Below are 22323 nucleotides of genomic sequence, written 5' to 3'. Positions count from 1 at the left end.
GGGTGTAAGCCACTGCACTCAGCCTTACATCCTATTTTTAAGCTTTAGATTACTAAACTGCTACATGTGTAGACATGGAAAATTAATACATACTATTTTCTCAACAAGATTAGAGGAAATTATTGCTGCATTACCTGTTAAATTATCACAGCAGTTTGTATGTTATCAAAGTAAATCGTATTTCTGTGAATCACCACACACTCATCATCATCATCATCATTTTCATTGTCATTACCAACATTGTTGTCATCATAATTGGCCAAATCAAACAATACAGGAAACAACAAATAGAAAAACCTGGATATAGCTCAGTCAGTCTTTACATATATAATTCAGATTTAATCTGGGTATATTAATACTTATATTTCTTCCCAATTCTTTCTGGGACATGTTCAATTCTGATATTCTCACTTTTAGTCTAATATCCAAGATGCAATTTCATCAGTTACATGGAGTGGTCCCTAAATCTTAGGGTGCATCTAAGTAATTTTTGTCACACAATTTTGTAACATCTGCCCAAGTCAGTAACTTAGAGTACTCAAAAGAATACTTTGAACTCTGCCAATTCTCCCTGATTGTGTATTTATAAATCACTTCTTTCCAATTGACCAATGCTTATTATTTCAGTAGAAGATGTGTGTAGCAGAACATTAACTTATTTATTCAAAATACTAATTCAGTATTCATTATGTGTTGGACATTGTATAATAAGCCATAAGAAAAAGAAAGAAAAATGAAAAACAACATGCAGACCTTGTCCTCAAATAGCTCAAAATTTTGTGAGGAATACAGAAATGTGAAACAACAATGCCAGAAGATGAATGCTATGGATGAGCCAGGGAAAGAAACAGTTTTCATTCTGTTTGGTATTTTAACTTTATGTCATTCAGTAAGTCTGTTTTAGGGAGTCATTAGCAATCTTTCTTCATTGTTCGCATTTTGATAGAGCATTCTGATCACCTTGTCACATTCTTCATGTTCCCAGATGTCCTGCTTAACTTTATTGTCCTCATTTTTAAGGACCTCATATTGTTCCTGAAGGAGACTTAAATATTCTACATTTTGTATCTGCCAGACTGCAACTAACAAAAAGAACAGCAACATAAAGGCAATAAGATACATTAATATGCAGATGCTACAAAGAAGTTTCACCTTTGTAATAAAAGTCTTTAATTCCCAAAACATTTTGTCTAGTTCGCAAAGGAATATTTGCATTATGTCTGCACTTCTTTTGTATTAAGGGAACTTGAAGGGTCAAATTTATATATTACTCCTACTTTATTTCTCTATTATTAATTTGGAAATTATTAATCTTAATTCATTATCAAGTAATGAATATTATCTAGAGACATGTATATATAATTAGGCCATTTGTAAATGTAAATAATAAAATCCTAATTAAAATATCTACCAAATTTAAATACGATTTTAATATTAGTGGTGCCTAAAGCATTAGTAGAGAATGAGAAATAATAACTCTCTTGCTCTTATTCCACAAGTCAATTTTATTGACAATCACAGTGATTTCTATACATATGCATATTAATTAATGTAACAAAAATTGTTAGATGTGTTTTTAGGGCCTTGTAAACTGTATCAAATTCTATACATAGTTACTCAATAATGTTTTAATGGAAGATTCTATTTACTTGATCTTAACCATAGTTTGGCTACACATGTTGTAAACTCAGAAAAAATAATCAAAATAAGAGTAAAGAATTTCCACAAATTAGCATTATTGTGCTTATTTAAAAAGCAGTTTAAGTTCTTTAGTGTCAAAGCTGATTAATTAGCAGGTAATTAATATATTTTAACCCAATTGAAACCATTTTAACTTATTTTAGCCAACTCCAGTTACTACACTGTGTTAATACTTGAAGGAAGAACAAAAACCTAAGAAAATTATTTAAACAGGCCATGGAGGTTAAGTCAGATAGACTCTGTATAATGATGAGTAAAACAGGCCAGGCATGGTGGTTCACATCTGTTATCTGAGCACTTTGGGAGGCTGAGGCAGGAAGATTGCTTGAGGCCAGGCTGGGCAACATCTTTAAAAAATTAGACAGACATGGTGGTGCACATCTGTGGTCCCAGCTACTTAGGAGGCCGAGATAGGAGGATCACTTGAACCCAGGAGGTCAAGGCTGCAGTGAGCCATGATTGTGCCACTGCACTCTAGACTGGGTGACAGAGCAAGACTCTGTCTCTTAAAAACAAAGAGTAAAATAAAATCCTAACTTCCACAGATAAAATCAGAAAGGACTCTGATCCTGTCTTGATCTTGCCCCTGTGGTGACTCCAATATGAGTATAAATCACCAGAAGTAGCAGAGGTAAATTTTATTAATTCATTATAGAGCCAGAAAAAAGTCATTTTCTATTTTTTCAACATATGATAATTATAATCAGAGTACATTTTGCATTATAACAGGTTATGTACAATAGTAAACTGTGCCAATCATTGTTCATTATAATCTCAAGGTCAGAACATTTTTATGTTCATATTACTAAAAGCATTACATCAATCTATTATAATTTAGTCATCAAAGTGATCATACCAAAATAACTGGAGTACATGAATTTTTAATAGATGTATGCTTTGTCAACACATGTTATATAAAATAAATGGGAAGAAACATCAGAATTCAAAGAGTTTGCCTACTACTGAGATTGTAACATGTTTGTTAACACTGCAGCAGAGAACGGTGTGCAAAAGGGAGGGAATCATGGTGAAAAATAGGCAGAGTAGGAAAGAGGAAGGAAATAATATTTGTTGATTCCTTCATATTTTACAGTATTTTAACCAAAGGAATGTAATAATGAGTAAAGTAATATATTAAGTATATGTCTGTACAATATTCTGTGAGGAGATATTAGTACATTTTTTTCAGTTTATAAAATTTAAGATATTATTTTCTTAAACTTACATTTGTGTCAGTATGATTTTCTCTCAAGAGGGAAGTGTCTATGTACCTGTGCTTCTTGAAAGTGAGTTATGTTATTGTCAGTTGTGCCTAGTAAATTATCCTTAAGTATATTCAACAAAAGATAGGGAATTGCAAGTTTTAGTACTACCAAGAAGTAGACTAGGGCAAAAAAGTCGATTGTTCTGGAGTGATACTAGAAAGATGGCAGGTTAAGAAGCTCTAGACCTTCACTCACCCATGGTAAGACAGAATGAAAAGTGACATATGGACCAAAATGACTTTAGAGCTTCAAAAACCACTTTAGAAGTTGCATCAACCGAGTGAATGCCAAAAGAAACAGCCACAATAACAATAGTAGAATATTTTGTAGTATTTTTGCTTCTCCTTGCTCCATTCACTCCTTGGAGCAGCGTGACACAGTCAAGAGAAAGTTGTCCAATACCTACTTAATCTGGAAGGAAATAAGTGGAACTTGCAGCATTTGGGCTTGTCTAGGGACTGCCAGGAGACTCGTCTCTGTGTCACCTGACTTGGAGAGTTGATTGGAATGGTGGCATTGTTAGGACATCAGGTTGGAGGCCACTGAAAGCAGTGGTGATTGCCATGGTGAAGAGAGCTGAAAGGCAACTGGAGACCTGCAGGCACCTAAAGGCAAGAGATCAAGGAAGAGGAACACGATAAAATGCTTATGGCTCCAAGAAGAAATAGGGTGAGATTCTTAAGGAAATTAAAACATTTCAAAGCAATTGTGTAAATGGATGAACTGGAACAAAAGTGACTTGTCACCCGGTGATGAGTCATTTCTAGAAAAGGCTTGAAACAACAATGCGTGTGTACATGGGGCTGATTAGTGAGTATTTGCCCTTGCATGGAGCCAGTCTGCAAAGGATGGGAGAAGTGGTTAGCTTTGCCGTTGTTGCTTTGTTCTGTTTTTCTCTTGGTGTTTTACATGCGCAGTTTTCAAAAAAGGATTAAAAGTCATGTAAAGAAACAGCGAATATGGCCATTCAAAGGAACAACATTAGTGTCTAGAAATTAACCCTAAAGAAACATAGGTCCTGACAATGACTTTAAAATAACTGTCTTAAGTATGCACAACAAGCTAAAGAGAAGGGAAAGAGAATTACATGAAAGCAGGAAGACAATATATGAACAAAATAATATCAACAAAGATATTGAAATTATAAGAATGAATCAAACAGAAATTCTGGAACTGAGAAAATATAATAACAGAATTACAAAATTAACTAGAGGGATTCAATAGCAGAATTAAACAGATGAAATAATCTGCAAATTTAAAGACAGTTCATTTGAAATTACAGAGTCAAAGGAGCAGAAATGAACAGAATGAACTGAGAAATGCCACGGGGACTTATGGGACACCATCAAGCCAACCAACATGTATATTATGGAAGTCCAAGTAAAATAAACACCAAAAGACCCTCACTGAGATACATTATAGTCAAAATGCCAAAAGTTAAGACAGAGAAACTTCAAAGTAGCAAGAGAAAAATGGCTTACCTTGTGCATGGTAGCCCTATAAGATTATCATGATTTTTTACAAGAAACCTTATAGGCCAAAAGACAATGGGAACTAATATAAAATATATTTAAAGTTAAAGGAAAAAAATTCTGAGAACACTATGTCTGGCAACACTGGTCTTCAAAAATGAGAGAAAACTAAGACATTTCCAGGGAAACAAAAGCTGAGGGAATTGATTACTACCAAATGTAGTGTACAAGAAATGCTAAAGGGAGTCCTTCAAATTTAAATGAAAGAATGCCAGAGGGTAACTTAAAGCAATACAAAAAAAAAATGAAGTTCTCAGGTAAAGGTAATTATCATGACAAAAATATTTTATTATTTTAGTTTTGGTTTGTAATACCACTTTTAATTCTTTCATAAGGTTTAGAGGACAAAAGCATAAATTGATGCAATGGGTACAAAACATATAAAAATGTAATTTTTGACATCAACAACAATAAGAGGAAATTAAATTGTTAAGAAGTAAAGTTTTATATGCAATTGAAGTTAAGTTGTTATCAGATTAAAACAGCATGCTGTAACTTTAGAATGTTTTATGTAATCCCCATGGTAACAAAAAGCAATAACTATAGAATATACAAGAAAGGAAATGAGAAGGAAATCAAATCATAATGTATCACTACATAAAGTTAACTAAAAAAAGTTAACAAAAAGAAAGTTAATAAGGAAAGAAATGAAGGACAAAAAGCTCAAAGAAATACTGAAGACAATTAACAGAATTACAAGAGTGAATTCTTTCCCTTAAGGAATTACATAAAATACAGAAGAATTAAATTCCCCATCAAAAGATGCACATTTGCAGAATAGATATATACACAGGATCTAACTACATGCTGTCTACAACTGACTCACTTTAGATCTGGGAACACTCATATGTTAAAAGTAAAAGGATGAAAAAAGGTATTCTATGCCAATAGCCATCAAAAGAGAGCAGGGGTGGCTATACTAATGTCATGCAAAATAAATTTTGAGCCAGAAACTGTTAGAGGAGACAAAGAACATTATTTAGTGATAAAATAATTAAGCCACTAAGAAAATATAACAATTATATATACACCCAACATCAGAGCTCCTAAATATATGAAAGAAACATTGACAGAAAGAAAAAAATAGACAGCTCTATAAAATAGTAGAAAATTTTAATATCTCACATGTAGTAATGAAAAGGACAGATCAATAAATAAACAGAAGACTTGAAAACAGTATAAATAAATTAGACCTAACAAACATACACAAAACATTTCAAACAACAGTATCAGAATACTCATTTTTCTCAAGTACATATAGAACATTCTCTATGATAGAGCAAATGTTGGGCCAAAAAGCAAGTCTTAATAAATTTTTAAAAAATGAAATCATACAAGGTTTCTTTGCTACTTGCAATGGGATGAAACTAGAACTAAGTATCCGATGGAACTGGAAAATTTACTAAATTATGGAAATCAAACAAGACACTCTTAATCAACCAATGGGCAGAAAAGATATCACATGGGAAACTAGAAAATACCTTGAGGCAGATGAGAGCAAAATATAACATTCTAAAACACATGGAACACTGTGAAAGCAGCACCAGGGAAAATATACAGCTGCAAAAGCTAACACTAAAAATAAATTTTGAAATCTCAAATTAAAAACCTTATTCAGGGAACAAGAAAAAGAAGACAAATTAAATCTACAGTTAGCAAAAGAAGGGGGATAATAAATATTAGGAGAGAAGCAAGTGAAATAGAGAATATAAAACTATAGAAATATTTTGATTCTGGTAGATTTGAAATAAATATTAAAATCAGAGAGTATAAGTCTTCTAAATTTGCTTTGAATTTTCATGATTGTTCTGGCTATTCGGAATCTCTTGAGATTCCATGTGAATTTTAGGATGTTTTTCTATATCTGCAAAAAAAAAATACCTTCCGAATTTTGACATGGATCGTTTTGGGATTTTGATATGGATTGTATTGAATCTGTTGATGAATTAGAATAGTATTGAAAAAACTGATTTTTGCTTGTTGATTTTGTACCCTGAAACTTTGCTTAATTTCTTTCAGTTAAAACAATGTTTTATTAGATTATTTAGGATTTTCCACATATACAATCATGTCATATGCAAACAGAAAAAAGATTTTCACCCTCCTTTTTGCTTTGAATGCCTTTTGTTTCCTTTTCTTGACTAACTTCTCTGGGTTCCTGTACTGTGTTAGATAGAAGTGGCAAAAGTGGGCATCCTTGTCTTGTTCTTTCTGATCTTACGGGAAAAGGTTTCAGTGTCCTATCATCGAGTATGGTGATAGCTGTGTGTTGGTCATAAATGGCTAAACCTATTAGAAGACAACAAAAGTGAAAAGTTTCATACATTAGATTTGGTAACGGTTTATTGGATGCAACACCAAAAGCACAAGCAACAGAGAAAAATAGGTAAATTGGTTTACATAAAATTAAAAAATGTCTGTGAATCAAAGAATACAATCAACAGAATGATAAGGCAGCCAACAGAATGAGAGTAAATATTTGTACATCACACGGTGGATAAAAGGTAAACATCTAAAACGTAAAAAGAACTCCTACAACTCAATGATACAAAAAAAAAAAAACAAAAACCCAAACAACCCAATTCAAAAACTGGCAAAGAAGTTGAATAAATATTTCACCAAAGAAGACATACAGATGATCAACAAGCATGTGAAAAGATGCTCAACACCCCTAATTAGAAAAATGCAAATTAAAACCTCAATGAGATACCATCTCTAGGATGGCTACTATTTAAAAAATAGAAAGTAACCCATTTTGACAAAGATGTGGAGAAATTAGAACATGTGTGCACTGTTGATGGGTATGTAAAATGGTGCATACGCTAGGGAAAACAATATGGTTGTTTCTCACAAAATGGAAAACAGAATTATGATGTGATCCAGCTTTTTCATTTGTGGATATATACCCAAAATAATTGAAAGCAGGGCTCAAAGTAATGTTAGTACACCCATGATCACAAGCTTCCATCTATGGATGAAATGAAATGAATGAAAAAGCAAAATGTCAGAATCCATAAAGTGGGGCACTTTTTGAGTCTGAAAAAGATGGAAAATCTGATAGATGCTACAATGTGAATGAACCTTGAGGACATTATGCTAAATGAAATAAGTCAATCACAAAAAGACAAATACTTTATGATTCCACTTCCATGAGGTGCCTAGAGAAGTCAAATTTATGGAGACAGAAAGTAGAATGGTGGTTGCCAGGGGCTACAGAGAGGGAGGAAGGAATGGGGAGTTGTCGTTTCATGAGTAGAGTTTTAACTTTAAGATGAAAAGTTTAGGAGAGTGGGTGTGAAGCAATATTAATGTACTTAACACTACAAACTGTAGACTTAAAAATGATTAAGATGGTAAATTTGGTTATATATATTTTACTACAACTAAAAGTATACAATATATTTGTTATAATTCACAAATATACATTTAACTTTCAGAATGAAAGAAGTTAATAAAATTCATACATTTTACTAGCTTTTAAAGCACAATCCTTAGAATAATGACAAAGCTGATTTCTAGTGTATGGTAAGACATAATTCTAGGTTTAAAATAATATATTAAAATATTTATTAATACTTTTCTATAGTTTCTTACAAATAAAAAACTACTTATAGTAAAAAATCTAAATTTATTAGTAAATCAGTAAATATTTGCTCTTAAATAACTTCTTTAGGTAGTTCGTATTAATATAATTTATTTGCTTGTGTTTTCAATATTAGCTAGATTTTTAACGTATTGCTTCCATCATAATAAAATATCACATAAATAATACTAATAAGTTAAAATAACATATGTAACACTTGATTCATATACCAAGTCATAGTTTTGAAATGTCCATATACATATTCACTTTGCAGTTTATAAAATAATGATTTCCTTGAAGTATACATAATTTCATACAAACTTCCTTGATGTAAGGTTAAATGGATTTTAGAAACTAATTTTTATTACAGTTCATATGTATTACCAGGAGATGTAACAGAACTCCTATTAGTTCAATTACTGTGCATAATAGTATTTTCTTTGCATGATTTTAATTGATTTGTAGGTTTGATGTGTGCCTACTTCCTTTAAGTTTTTTTTTTTGTTTTTTTTTTTTTTCAAATAAAGGCTCCCTCTATCGCCCAGGCTAGAGTGCAGTGGCGTGATCTCGGCTCACTGCAACCTCCGCCTCCCAGGTTCAAGCTATTCTCCTGGCTCACCTTCCCCAGTAGCTTGGATTACAGGCACCCACCACCATGCTCAGCTAATTTTTGTATTTTTAGTAGAGATGGGGTTTCACCATGTTGGCCAGGCTGGTCTTGAACTCTTGTCCTCAAATGATCTGCCCACCTCGGCCTCCCAAAGTGCTGGGATTACCGGCATGAGGCACTGTGCCCGGTCTTCTTCCTTTAAGTTTTCTACTAAATATCCCTTTCAAACAAAATTATCCTCATGGGAAATAGCCTTGGGTGAGCTATTTCCAGCACTTTGGGAGGCTGAGGCTGGAGGGTAGCTGGAACACAGGGGTTCATGACCAGCCTTTGCAGAATGACAAAACCAGTCTGATATGGTTTGGCTCAGTGTCCCCATCCAAATCTTATCTCCAATTGTAATCCTCATGTGTTGAGGGAGGGACCTGGTAGGAGGTGATTGGATTATCGGGGCAGTTTTCCCCATGCTGTTCTCAAGATAGTGAGTTCTCATGAGATCTGATAGTTTAAAAGTGTAACACTTCCCCTCCTCCCCTCCTGCTGCCATGTAAGATGTGCCTTGCTTCTCTTTTGCCTTCTGCCATGATTATACGTTTTCTGAGGCCTCCCCCAGCATGAGACTGTAGAACTGTGAATCAATTTAACCTCTTTTATTTTTTCTTTTTTTCTTTTTTTTTAAATTTTGCTTTAAGTTCTAGGGCACATGTGCACAACGTGCGGGTTTGTTACATATGTATACATGTGCCATGTTGGTGTGCTGCACCCATTAACTCGTCATTTACATTAGGCATATCTCCTAATGCTATCCTTCCCCCCTCCCCCAACCCAATGACAGGCCCTGGTGTGTGATGTTCCCCTTCCTGTGTCCAAGTGTTCTCATTGTTCAATACCCCCTGTGAGTGAGAACAAGCAGTGTTTGGTCTTTTGTCCATGCAATAGTTTGCTGAGAATGATGGTTTCCAGCTTCATCCATGTCCCTACAAAGGACATGAACTCATCCTTTTTTGTGGCTGCACAGTATTCCATGGTTTTATGTGCCACATTTTCTTCATCCAGTCTATCATTGATGGACGTTTGGGTTGGTTCCAAGTCTTTGCTATTGTGAATAGTGCCACAATAAACATACATGTGCATGTGTCTTTACAGCAGCATGATTTATAATCTTTTGGGGATATACCCAGTAATGGGATGGCTGGGTCAAATGGTATTTCTAGTTCTAGATCCTTGAGGAATCACCACACCCTCTTCCACAATGGATGAACTAGTTTACAGTTCCACCAACAGTGTAAAAGTGTTCCTATTTCTCCACATCCTCTCCAGCACCTGTTGTTTCCTGACTTTTCAATGATCGCCATTCTAACTGGTGTGAGATGGTATCTCCTTGTGGTTTTGATTTGCATTTCTCTGATGGCCAGTGATGATGAGCATTTTTTCATGTGTCTTTTGGCTGCATAAATGTCTTCTTTTGATAAGTGTCTGTTCATATCCTTTTCCCACTTTTTGATGGGGTTGTTTGTTTTTTCTTGTAAATTTGTTTGAGTTCCTTGTAGATTCTGGATATTAGCCCTTTGTCAGATGAGTAGATTGCAAAATTATTCTCCCATTCTGTAGGTTGCCTGTTCACTCTGATGGTAGTTTCTTTAGATCCCATTTGTCAATTTTGGCTTTTGTTGCCATTGCTTTTGGTGTTTTAGACATGAAGTCCTTGCCCATGCCTATGTCCTGAATGGTATTGCCTAGGTTTTCTTCTAGGGTTTTTATGGTTTTAGGTCTAACATTTAAGTCTTTAATCCATCTTGAATTAATTTTTGTATAAGGTGTAAGGAAGGGATCCAGTTTCAGCTTTCTACTTATGGCTAGCCAGTTTTCCCAGCACCATTTATTAAATAGGGAATCTTTTCTCCATTTGTTGTTTTTGTCAGGTTTGTCAAAGATCAGATGGTTGTAGATGTGTGGTATTATTTCTGAGGGCTCTGTTCTGTTCCATTGGTCTATATCTCTGTTTTTGTACCAGTACCATGCTGTTTTGGTTACTATAGCCTTGTAGTATAGTTTGAAGTCAGGGAGCGTGATGCCTCCAGCTTTGTTCTTTTGGCTTAGGATTGTCTTGGCAATGCAGGCCCTTTTATGGGTCCATATGAACTTTAAAGTAGTTTTTTCCAATTCTGTGAGGAAAGTCATTGGTAGCTTGATGGGGATGGCATTGAATCTATAAATTACCTTGGGAAGTATGGCCATTTTACCTCTTTTCTTTATAAATTACCCAGTCTCAGGTAGTTCTTTATAGCAGTCTAAAAACAGACTAATACACCATCTAGACAAAAAACTCAAAAATTAGCTGGGCATCATGTCATATGACTATAGTCCCAGCTACTTGGGAGTCTGGGTTAGGGGGATCACCTGAGCCAGGGAGGTCGAGATTTCCAGTGAGCTGTGATCATGCCACTGCACTCCAGCCTAAGCAAGAGAGCAAGACAACATATCAAAAAAAAAAAAAAAAAAGAAAGAAAGAAAGAAAGAAAAAAGAAAAGAAAGAAATAACCCTTACATATTATCAGAGTGAAAAACAAAGTTACCTAAGCAATAGAAAATAATCACTGAAAAAGGGGGTATTTGAATGCAAAAAAAAAAAAGTGTCAATGTATTTGCAAAGCGGCACTCCTATTTCTTTGTAAATTATGATAAGTTACTTCTTCATGGGCACAGTATCTGCTCAGGGCAATTATGTCAACATGGAAAGTTCTTGTTACACTGTATTTTTATAACTTCTTAACACTTTGGCAAAATTATAAGTTATCTGAGAAAGATGAAATACCAAATCGATTGAAAACAAAGATAAAACATTATTCTAATTATAGCAGTAACTTTTTATTATATTTCATATTGAGTTCAAGCCAATTTTTTGCATATGCATAATTTAAGTTTACTTTTGGTTTTCTAAACTGCAGTAAAATTAGTTCTGAGGGAAATTAGCTTTGCAAATGTCATTTTCCCAATTATAATTTTTTATACATATAATTGCCTTTTCTTGCTTTCCCATGACTTCTCCAAATTTTAGTCTATAAAATTATTTGAATTTTTAAAATATTGGAGTCAGACTTAAGAGAAACCTAATGATGTGAATTAAAAATCACCATTCTATCACTTAAAATATATTGAATGCTTTATATGTGCCAGGCCCAGTAAAAGATCTATTATATAACAGAAAAGAAACTAAGACACAGAGAGGTTAATTACCTATAATTTTTGCCTGAATGACTCAGCTCATAATTAGCATTGTTAATTTCAAACCCAGGTCTGTTTGACTTTAAAGGTTAAGCATTTAATCAGTTTGGTATATTGAGATGTTAGCTCTGAATCACTTGAAAGGGATGGGAAAACTTGAGCAATCTGAGGTAACACCACTAGCATATTTTGGAGGTTGATTTTAGGCCCGGGTCTTTTCAGTTCTTACATCCACTCAAGATTCTTTGCCTCATCTTGTCTTCCAAAATGTAGAGTACATCAATAAAATCTGGTTCCTGACTGCATCCCCGCCTCTACAAACCTCCCCTCCCTAAACATTACAAATCATAAGAACATGTGTTGCCCTATAGTAGACCTAGGAGAGTTTATCAGCAAGTACATTTAAGGAAGAATAAGAAACAGCATTGAGAAGGACAAAAGAAGGCATTATAGAGAAGGAAAAAATACAAGAAAAATTTTAAAATATAATTATTTGTTTTCCCCTGTAAAATTGATGATCACTATGCATAGTTTCTTATGTCTGTGTGAATTCTTAAAATCTATTTATATCCTCTTGCGATTTCAGTGAGCCAATAAATAATATTCTCCTGTCCTCTTCAATAGCAAATTCAGAAGTCAGTGGAAAATTAGATACTGGTATCATGTCTTAGCTTGTTTGGGCTGCTATAACAAAAATATCCTAGACTGCATGTCTTGTAAACAACAAAAATGTATTTCTCACATTTCCAGAGGCTGGGAAGTCCAAGGCTGAAGTGCCAGCCAATTCAGTGTCTGGTGAGGGCAGCTTCCTGGGACACTGACAGCCATCTTCTAGTTGTGTCCTCACATGGTAGGAAGGGCAAGGGGTCTCTCTGGAGTTTATTTTATAAGGGCACTAATCCCATCCATGATGGCTCTGCCTTCATGACCTAATTTCCTCCCACCAGCTCCATGCCCTAACACCATCACCATTAGGGTGAAATTTCAACATATGAATTTGTAAAGGACATAACATCTAGTCTGCAGCAGACCTTCTAGATTGAGAGAAAAGAGTCAGTTTTATTGTTAAGGATGATTTTGGAACCTTGCTGAGAATTGTGTCCTCAGTGGGCTTCCTCAAACTCTGAGTTTGACTCAGGCCCACAACCTCCCCGAGTCCCTGACATGAATATAAAGTTGTGGACTTTCACTGCAGGGACATGCTGCTTATAGCATTGATGCTAACAAAGCAGAGATAACACTCGAGGCAAGAAAAGGAGGGAGGGAGAGACAGAGAATGGATCACACCAAGCACGCTTAGTCTCTTCTCTGAGTAAACGAGCCAGTGAACACACAGAGATGCACCAGTGGCAAATGAGTCAGTACATTACTAACCATCTATTGACACCCTCCTGTTGGTTCCCTATAGGGTTGTAGTAATGCAACTTCAATTTTCAAAATTTTCTGTTTTAACATGAACCTGTTAGAATCATATCATCTTAATTTTAGTATATTTAAGGAACTGGAAATGTCATATGATTTATAATGATTTAGAGAAATTCCTTAGTTCCTTTTTATGAACCAAGCAAATTAGGTCCAAATAATTATCGAGTTATTTTTCACCAAGGAGTTTCAGGAGCATAACTTGTAACTTTTGCTAAGTGTTTCTCTTTTTTTAATTTATGAGAAACTTCCTCATAAGTAGGTCTTCAACAATCAAATATATAGGCTCAAGATTATAAGTCCTTTAGAACTATTTTTAAATGCTTATTTATTAAGCATAGTCCTGTTCCCTTTCCATGAGACAGAACTAGACAGAAAATCAATTTTAATGTGCAAAGAGACCTTATAACTGTAGACAAATCAAATGTTCTGGTAATAACATATAAATATGTGCTAACCTGTCTTCATATAACAAGATGTAATGGACATCTCAGCGATTAGGTTGTTAAAGCACCTGCATCAACAATTGCTATTTTCCAGACACTGAATTAATAACATTTAATACAAACTGCTGTCTGAGGCTGCAAAACTGTGACTTTAGTTGTTCTTTACTTGCCAGGTCTGAATAAAGGAATATGGGTGTCTTAGTTTGAGTTCTTTTAAAGTGGACATGGAGACAGGGATCTGCAGATCCTAATACATCACAGGAGAATGGGAAGGAGGGCTGGGAAGTGGGGTGAATGTCAATGGCTCAGTTCATGGAAGGAGCAGGTAGAAAGACAAATTGGACTTACTCCTATTTATTCTGCTCCCAGGTCAATAGGCTTGAACTTTTAATGCATTGTTTGTGCCCACTTGCCTTTGACTATTAGAATCAACAAATAAGAGAACTTAGAGTCTTGCATTGTGGCCTTTATTTACTTTTCTCACACACTATAGAGCTATAATTAAGACTAGAAATGAAGCATCATGATATTTTCATGATATTTGCATGTAGGTATGTTTTGATGTTTTGTTCTTGTTTATTTGCATATTTGTTTTCTTCTCCTCCAAGGCAACAGGGCAAACATTTCCTTGTGAATGATAAGAGAATAAACAGTAAATATTGTAGGCTTTGCAGGCAACAAAGGCCTCTGTTGCATATTCTTAAAAAATACCTTCAAACATGTAAAGGTCATTTTTATTCTGTGAAGCTGTGCAAACACAGGCCATGGTTGATTGCTGTAAGGGAAGAGATGTTTAGTATTTATTTTCTATGCATTTCAATATAATCTAATTTAGAAATAGTAGCAATTAAGTTAACTTTTTTAAAAGTATAAGTGTCCCAACTCCCCTGCTAAGGTGGTCTCAAGGAGGGCCTAGGAAGGAGTCGGAACTTTCATCCCTGCTGGGTACAACAGGCCCCAGCCCCATGGTGTTAGTGGAGATCACGTGGCTAGTGTATTAGTCCATTCTCACACTGCTATAAATAACTACCGAGACTGGGTAGTTTATAAAGAAGATAGGTTTAACTGACTGACAGTTCCACAGGCTGTACAGGAAGCATGGCTGGGAGGCCTCAGAGAACTTACAATCATGGCAGGAGGTAAAGGGGAAGCAACCACATCTTACCACGGCAGAGCAGGAAAGAGGGGAGAGATGCTATACACTTTTAACCCATTTACTCCTGAGGTTGCAATTTTTTGAGTTTGAAAAAAATCAGACCTTGGCAATGGCCTTGAGCAGTAGGATATAAATAACTCCAACATGCTCAGTGTTCCAATAATGGAACATTAAACATAAATGTGTTTAAACAAGCAGATCTCATGAGAAGTCCATCACAAGAGAGCCCTAGGGGGATGGTGCTAAACCACTGGAAACAGCCCCCATGATCCAATAACTTCCCACCAGGTCCTACCTCCAACACTCGGGATCACAGTTCAACATGAGATTTGGGTGGGGACACAGAGCCAAACCATATCAAGTAGTGTGAACTTTCACCTCCACCTTTTGCCATAAGAAGCCTCTCCCCTCCCCAAGGGGTGGTGTCAGAGGAAGCCAAGTGGAGTCAGGATTTTCACCATTGCAGAGAGGTATTGAGACCACCTCCCCCTTCGGCTGTTGGTGGATGCCACATGGAGAGAAGTAACAAGGAGCACTCCTACCAAAGGGTAGCATTAGTGAAAGCCTGTAGGAAACCCAGAGCTTACACCCCCAACCAGCAGTAAAAAGGTTGACACATGGATGTCAACAGAATCTAGTGGGAACTTGAACTACTACCCCACCTGGCAGTCATGAGGCAGTGCCCACCTTCCATCCAGGGCAGTGTCTGACAAAGCCAATGAAGCAGGTTTAACTGACCCAGAATGCCATAACATAATATTCCAATATCCAGGTCCCCATTAAAAACCACTTGTCATACCACAAACCAGAAATATCTCAGTTTGAATAACAGAAGATACTCAACAGATGCCAATACCAAGATGATACAGATGAGGATCAGACAATGATTTTAACTCAGCCATCATATAAATGCTTCAACAAGGAATTACTAAAAAGCTTGAAACAAATTAGAAAATAAAAAATCAGAATGAAGAAACAGAAATTTGCAGTAAAGAAATGGAGTAAAAAAATAAGAAAATGGAATTTTTATAACTGAAATTTGCTATAATCAAAAATATTTGAATATGCCTCAATAGATGGACTCAACAGCAGAATGAAAAGGATAGAAAAAAGTATCACAAAATCTAAAGAGAGAACTATAGAAATAACCATATTTGAACAAGAGAAATAAAATAGGCAGGAAAAAGAAATGAGCAGAACTTTCTGGACCTGTTGAACCATAACAAAATGTCTAATATTTGTTTCATCAGAGTCCCCAAAGTGAATCGGTTAGGGCAAGTGTTCAAAGAAATAACGGATAAAAGTTTTTCAAGTTGGTGAAAACCACTTACCTGCAAATTCAAGAGGCTAAGCAAACTCCATATAAGATAAACACAAAGAAACATATACCAAGATATATCATAGACAAACTTCTGAATACCAGATACAAGAAACCCTTGAAAGTAGTAAGAAAGGGCCAGGCGCGGTGGCACAAGCCTGTAATCCCAGCACTTTGGGAGGCCAAGGCAGGTGGATTTCCTGAGCTCAGGAGTTTGAGACCACCCTGGGTAACATGGTGAAACCCCATCTCTACTAAAATACAAAAAATTAGCCAGGCATGGTGGTGCGTGCCTGTACTCTCAGCGACTTGGGAGGCTGAGGCAGGAGAATCGCTTGAGCCCAGGAGGTGGAGGTTGCAGTGAGCCGAGATCACACCACTGCACTCCAGCTTGTGCTACAGAGTGAGACTCCGTTTCAAAAAAGGAAAAACAACAAAAAAAGAAAAAGTAGTAAGAAAGAAATAACACTTTACCTCTAAAGGGAGCAATTCGAGTGACAGCATGTTTCTCATCTGAAAACAGAGAGGCCAGAAAAAACTACTACAGTGAGATTCCAATACTGAAAGAAAAGAACTCTAAACCCATAATTCATACCCAGTGAAAATATCCTTCAGGAATGATGGGGAAATCAATCATTCTGAGATGAAGTAAAATTAACAGAATTCGTCATCAGAATACCTATCCTATAAGAACTGCTAACGTTCTTCAAAGAGAAAGTGAATGATTAAAAGAAATTTTGAAACATTGGGAGTGGGGAAAGAATAACGGAAAGAATAAAGATAACGGTAAATACAATAAACTTTTCTTCTCATATTGAGTTTCCTTAAATAAAAAAATTAGATATTGCTTCAAATTGTAACTAAAATTTAAATGGTGACAACACAAAACACTTGTGAAGATGTGTATTACCCCATTTTTATACGTAATAAAGAAATACCCGAGACTGGGTAATTTATAAAGAAAAAGAAGTTTAATGGATTCACAGTTCCACATGGCTGGAGAGGCCTCACAATCATGGTGGAAGGCAAAGGAGGAGCAATATCTCATCTTACATGGCGGCAGGCACGGGAGCATGTGCAGGGGAACTGCCCTTTACAAAACCATCAGATCTCGTGAGACTTATTCACTATCATGAGAACAGAGTGGGAAAAATCCACCCCCATGAGTCAGTTACCTCCCACTGGGTCCTTCCCATGACATGTAGGGATTATGGGAGCCTCAATTCAACATGAGATTTGGGTAGGGACAGAGCCAAACCATATCAGGATGCAAAGAAAATTGATTACTTGCGTATTGTTGGTGGTAGTGTAAAATCATGCAGAACTTCAGAAAATGAAAAATAATGCCATAAAGGTCAAAAGGAAAGAAATGGAAGTATATATTATTATAAGATTGTTATATAATATGTGAAATAGTATGCTATCACTTAAAGGCAGATGGTGATAAATTAAAGATATATATTATAAACTCTAAACTTACAATCAAAACAAAACAATAAGTTATGTAGTTAATATAGTTAATATATAGTTAATAAGTCAATGAAATCAAATCAAAAAAAGAAATCAGAAACATTGAATTAACTCAAAAAAGGTAGATCGAGAGGAAGATATAAACAAAGAACAAAATGGAGAAAGAGAAAACAAATAGCAAGATCTTATCAATAATCACATTACATTTAAATGTTCCAAATACCAATTATAAGGCAGAAATTGTAGTTTGAATCAAAAGCTAAGACGTAGCTGTGTGCTTTCTACAGGAGAGCCATTTTAGATGATAAATAAGTTAAAAGTAAAAGGAAAAAACCCCACATATCACCCTAATCCAAAGAAACCTAGACTGACTATGTTAATATCAGCAAAGTAAATTTCAGAGCAATAAATGTTACCAGCTCCAAAAGGGGTCATAGTATAATAATAAAATGATAGATTTATAAATAAGACATAATGACCCTAAATTGTTACATAGCTAATATGAGAGCTTCAAAACATGAAACAAAAACTGAGAGACTATGGAAAAATAGACAAATTCACAAATATAGTCAGATATTTTTAACATCTCTCTCTAAACAATTGGTTGGATAAATAAACAAAAATAATCAGTATGTAGCAAGTTTATTTTTGAGCCCCAAACCATATGTAATTCAAGTGCCCATCAACTGGTAGTATATTCATACAATGGAATACTACTTAACAATAGAAATGACTATTAATATATGAAGCATATATCAACACAATTATGCTGCACTATTTATATTGACAGAAAGTAGGTCCGTGAGTCCCCAGCAGTGGGAGTGTGGGGAAGAAAAGGAAGGATAAGAAGGGGGATGAGGAAGCTTGTGATGTGGTTTTGATGGTGGCTTCACAAGGGTATACACATGCCAACACTTAGCACATCATACACTTTAAATATGTGCAATTTATTGTCTATTATATTTCAATAAAGCTACTAAGTATTTTTTGGAGAAAGGTGAATTCTGTGATCCATTATTAGAAAACGGAATGATTATTTTCCCTCCTCTCTTTTGTAGGTGAGAGATAGGACCACAAATTGTTTACTCATTTCAACCAGTAAACATGTCCTGCAATGTCAATCTGTCTTTCTGCCACAGCAGTTCTGCGCCTCCTGAGTTGTTTCCATCTCCCTCCAGTCATTCAGGACCACCAATGAGATTTGTGATATTTGGAAAACTGCCACCCAGTGCCTCCTTTTCCTAATCTGCTGAATAAAGTTAATAAGACTATCCTATGTTGCCATCATTTGTTTTGGGGATTCATGGGTTAGGTGATACTTAATATATATGGAAAGTGTTTGAATAATGTTTTATGGAGACTTGTCAAAAACATATATTTTGAGGTTTTTTTAAATATTGCCATTCAAACAGAAAAAAAACTTCTCTGTATATAAAACCTTATCAAGAGATTCAACTGTATTTTATCAGCACAGAAACAACAAGGGTTGTCTATAAATTCTTACTTCAATGCCTCATTATCTGTTTTTTTTTTCACCACCAACTTGATGCCAGATAGGTTTATCTCATCACTCCTCTGAATTTGCTTTAGAAATCACAGTGACTTCCATCTTGCCTTCATCCTCATCTTATCAGATGTGTCAGAACCCTTTGAGGCTGTTGATCACTTCCTCCTTCTCAAAACATTCTTGGTTGTCCTCTTTACTCACCGACATTATTCTCCACTTTAGTTACAAGTGTCTCCCATTTCTAATCTCTAAATGTTGAAATCTCCCCCACACAGTCCTCAGCTCCAGTCTGCCTTCCATGTTCACACACTCAGTGTCCTCACATGGTTATCCACAGCTAATGACTTCTGCATTTACATCTTTAGGCTTGACATTCCTAAGAGGTTGCCACTCATATCCTAAACTGCTTATTCAAATTTCACCTCAGGCATTTATTAAACATCTAAAAGCACACATGTCAAAAAGACACTCCCAACACTCATCTCACCCTCATCATTTCCTTTATCAAGACAAAATTCAGGAGTGATTGCAGAGGCACCACCGGTGTTGCTGCAGTCTCGCCTCTGATTATTAATGCAAGTAATAAAGGTCGTTAAAGGTATAAATGATTTTGTTTTAAATTTTACTCTAGGAGGAAGGGTGAGCAAACAATTCCAATGAGGTAATCATGGATAGTTTAAAGCAGGAGATGATTTCTCAACTTAACTTAGAAGAATGAGACGCAATCAATAGCAGTAATATTCATAAAGGATTTTTAGAAAAGTGTTCTAAAATAGGAAAATTGGAAAGCAATGATATATCAGTAGAACACTGGGTTCAGAGACAGGAGAAGGGTATAAAAGTGGTGAAAGGCATTACATGAAGGTGGGTCAGATTCTAAATAACTTTGAGTACTCCACAAAGGAGATTAAACTAATTGAAGGTTTTTCCAGCACAGCAGTGAAAGTTAGGGGGATAAAATCTAGAACCATGTGGAAAAGAGATTGGTTGAGAAGTAACCTGAGGTCAAATAAGACTAGTTATTCCACCAGTTTAGTAGTCCAAATGCAAGGTGGAAACAAAAACGAGGACAGTGGCATTGGGCAGCAGACATAGAATGATTTAGAAATTATTGAGAAGGATCTAGTGTTAACTTTGCCTCATTCAGGACATTAGTTTCTTACAGTTGATCTGGATGAAGTCACTAAATAGAGTTTTCACATGTAAAAAGGGAGTAATAAATGTGAGCTAGAGCAATGAGTTAATTTAAGACATTAATGTGTCATTAGTGGCATAATGTTCAAATAGCTTGGTATTAAAAATACTTTTTAAATACCCATTCTCACCACATGCTGTATTTAGGATTGGGGATTATAAATAAAATGATAATTTTCATTAAGAAATGGGTGGATTCCAGAAAACTCAAGAAATCATTATTCTTCGGTTAGTTTATCCATTCATCTATTGGTGGATGTATTTGTTGCTGAAAATTTGGGGAAATTATGAATAAATTGAATAAATGATTATCAGTAAAACTGTTACAAACATTCATGCATGGAAGTTTATATTGGCATAGTTTTTTTAAATCAATTGGGTAAATAACTGGAAATTCAAATACTGGACTATGCTCAGTTTTATAAGAAACTGTAGAAATGTCTTCCAATGGTTGGACAAATTTACAGTCTCACTGGCAATAAATGAGGGTTTCCAATGCTTTGCAGAGTTGTCAGTAGTGGTTATCATCAGACTTTTGCATTTGAGCCATTCCAATAAATACGTAGTGATATCTCATTGTTGTTTTAATTTGCATTTCTCTAATGATGAGTGAATGCTGAGTGTCTTCTCATAATGCCTATTTGCTATCATCTTTATAGTTTTTTGGTGAGATGTCTTCTCAAATCGTTTTGCCTATTTATTAATTAGGGTATTTGTTGCTGTTGAATTTTAAGAATTTTTTGCATATTCTGGAGATAATATTTTTAAATCAGATATATGATTTACAACGATTATTTCAAGCTGACTTCTTATCACTTATATAACTACTCTAACCTGAGAAATAATCTAATGTTTACAAAATGTGCTATTGATAATTTTTTTATCTTTTGACCAAATAAACTGGTAATTTCATGTTAATTTTCAATAGCTTTGGTTTGAACATAAGGGTTTAAGTGGTTTTAAAATGATCTTATATTACTTCTCTTTATCTCGAGATAAAATTTAAAACTTTAATCTTAGTTCTTTCATGATGTGTCTAGATTGTTTCTAAGATAAACACATAAACAAATATTATTTTAGTTATAGTTCCAAGCACACTTAATATTTTGTATTGAGACTGGTTGTGCATTTTTTTCTTAAAAGTCTCTGCCAAAAATATGAATATCATGAGATAAAGGTATATTATTATGCATGTACAAAGATTATAAAGGTATCCATCAAAATTTTTAAAATCATTATTTTCAGAGGTGTTGAAATAATTCATTTTATTTAATTTACAGGTCTGTTCTAATATTTCTTTAATAATCAAAAGTAAATGCCTTATGGAGTCTATTTTTTAATAAAATATTACTTTAATTTGTGTAAATAATTGTATTTGACTAATATAATTTTTAAATTTTTTCATTTGGGAAGTAACTATGAAATAATATAAACATGTGCTATCTTCCAAAGCATATGAAACAAATAACAAGTATCCCTTTATGCGAAGCTACAAAAAGAATTACATGTGAGGTAAAATCATTTCTGTCATTCATAACACGGGAATGCAACTTATAAATGTGACAGGGTAGGTGGCTCACATCTGTAATCTCAGCCCTTTGGGTAGCTGAGGCAGGATGATCACTTGAGACCAGAAGTTCAAGCCTAGCCTGGGCAACATAGTGAGACCATTTCTGCAAAAATAGAGAATATGTATATAAAAACTTAAAAAATTAGCCAGGCATGGTGATGCATGCCTTTGGTCCCAGCTACTTAGGAGGCTGAAGTGGGAGGATTGCTTGAGCCCAGGAGGTGGAGGCTGCAGTGAGCTTTTATCGCACCACTGCACTCCAGCCTGGGTGACTGAGTGAGACTCTGTCTCAAGAAAAAATAAAATAAAATAAAAGATCAGATA

At 35.0% G+C, this 22323-nt stretch overlaps 1 long non-coding RNA gene across 1 annotated transcript; it reads left to right on the top strand.

Annotated features, from left to right (window-relative positions):
- The first annotated feature begins 3581 nt into the window (after window positions 1-3581).
- LOC100507464 (uncharacterized) lies at window positions 3582-18999 on the top strand. The gene is made up of 2 exons (NR_134294.1): window positions 3582-3635; window positions 18787-18999. It is a non-coding gene; the product is annotated as an uncharacterized LOC100507464 (long non-coding RNA).
- The last annotated feature ends 3324 nt before the right edge of the window (window positions 19000-22323 follow it).

This window comes from Homo sapiens, chromosome 8 (genome assembly GCF_000001405.40).
Source record: "Homo sapiens chromosome 8, GRCh38.p14 Primary Assembly".
NCBI lineage: Eukaryota > Metazoa > Chordata > Mammalia > Primates > Hominidae > Homo > Homo sapiens.
Note: the sequence above shows the minus strand (reverse complement) of the source record. Positions and strands in the feature narration are given on the sequence as shown.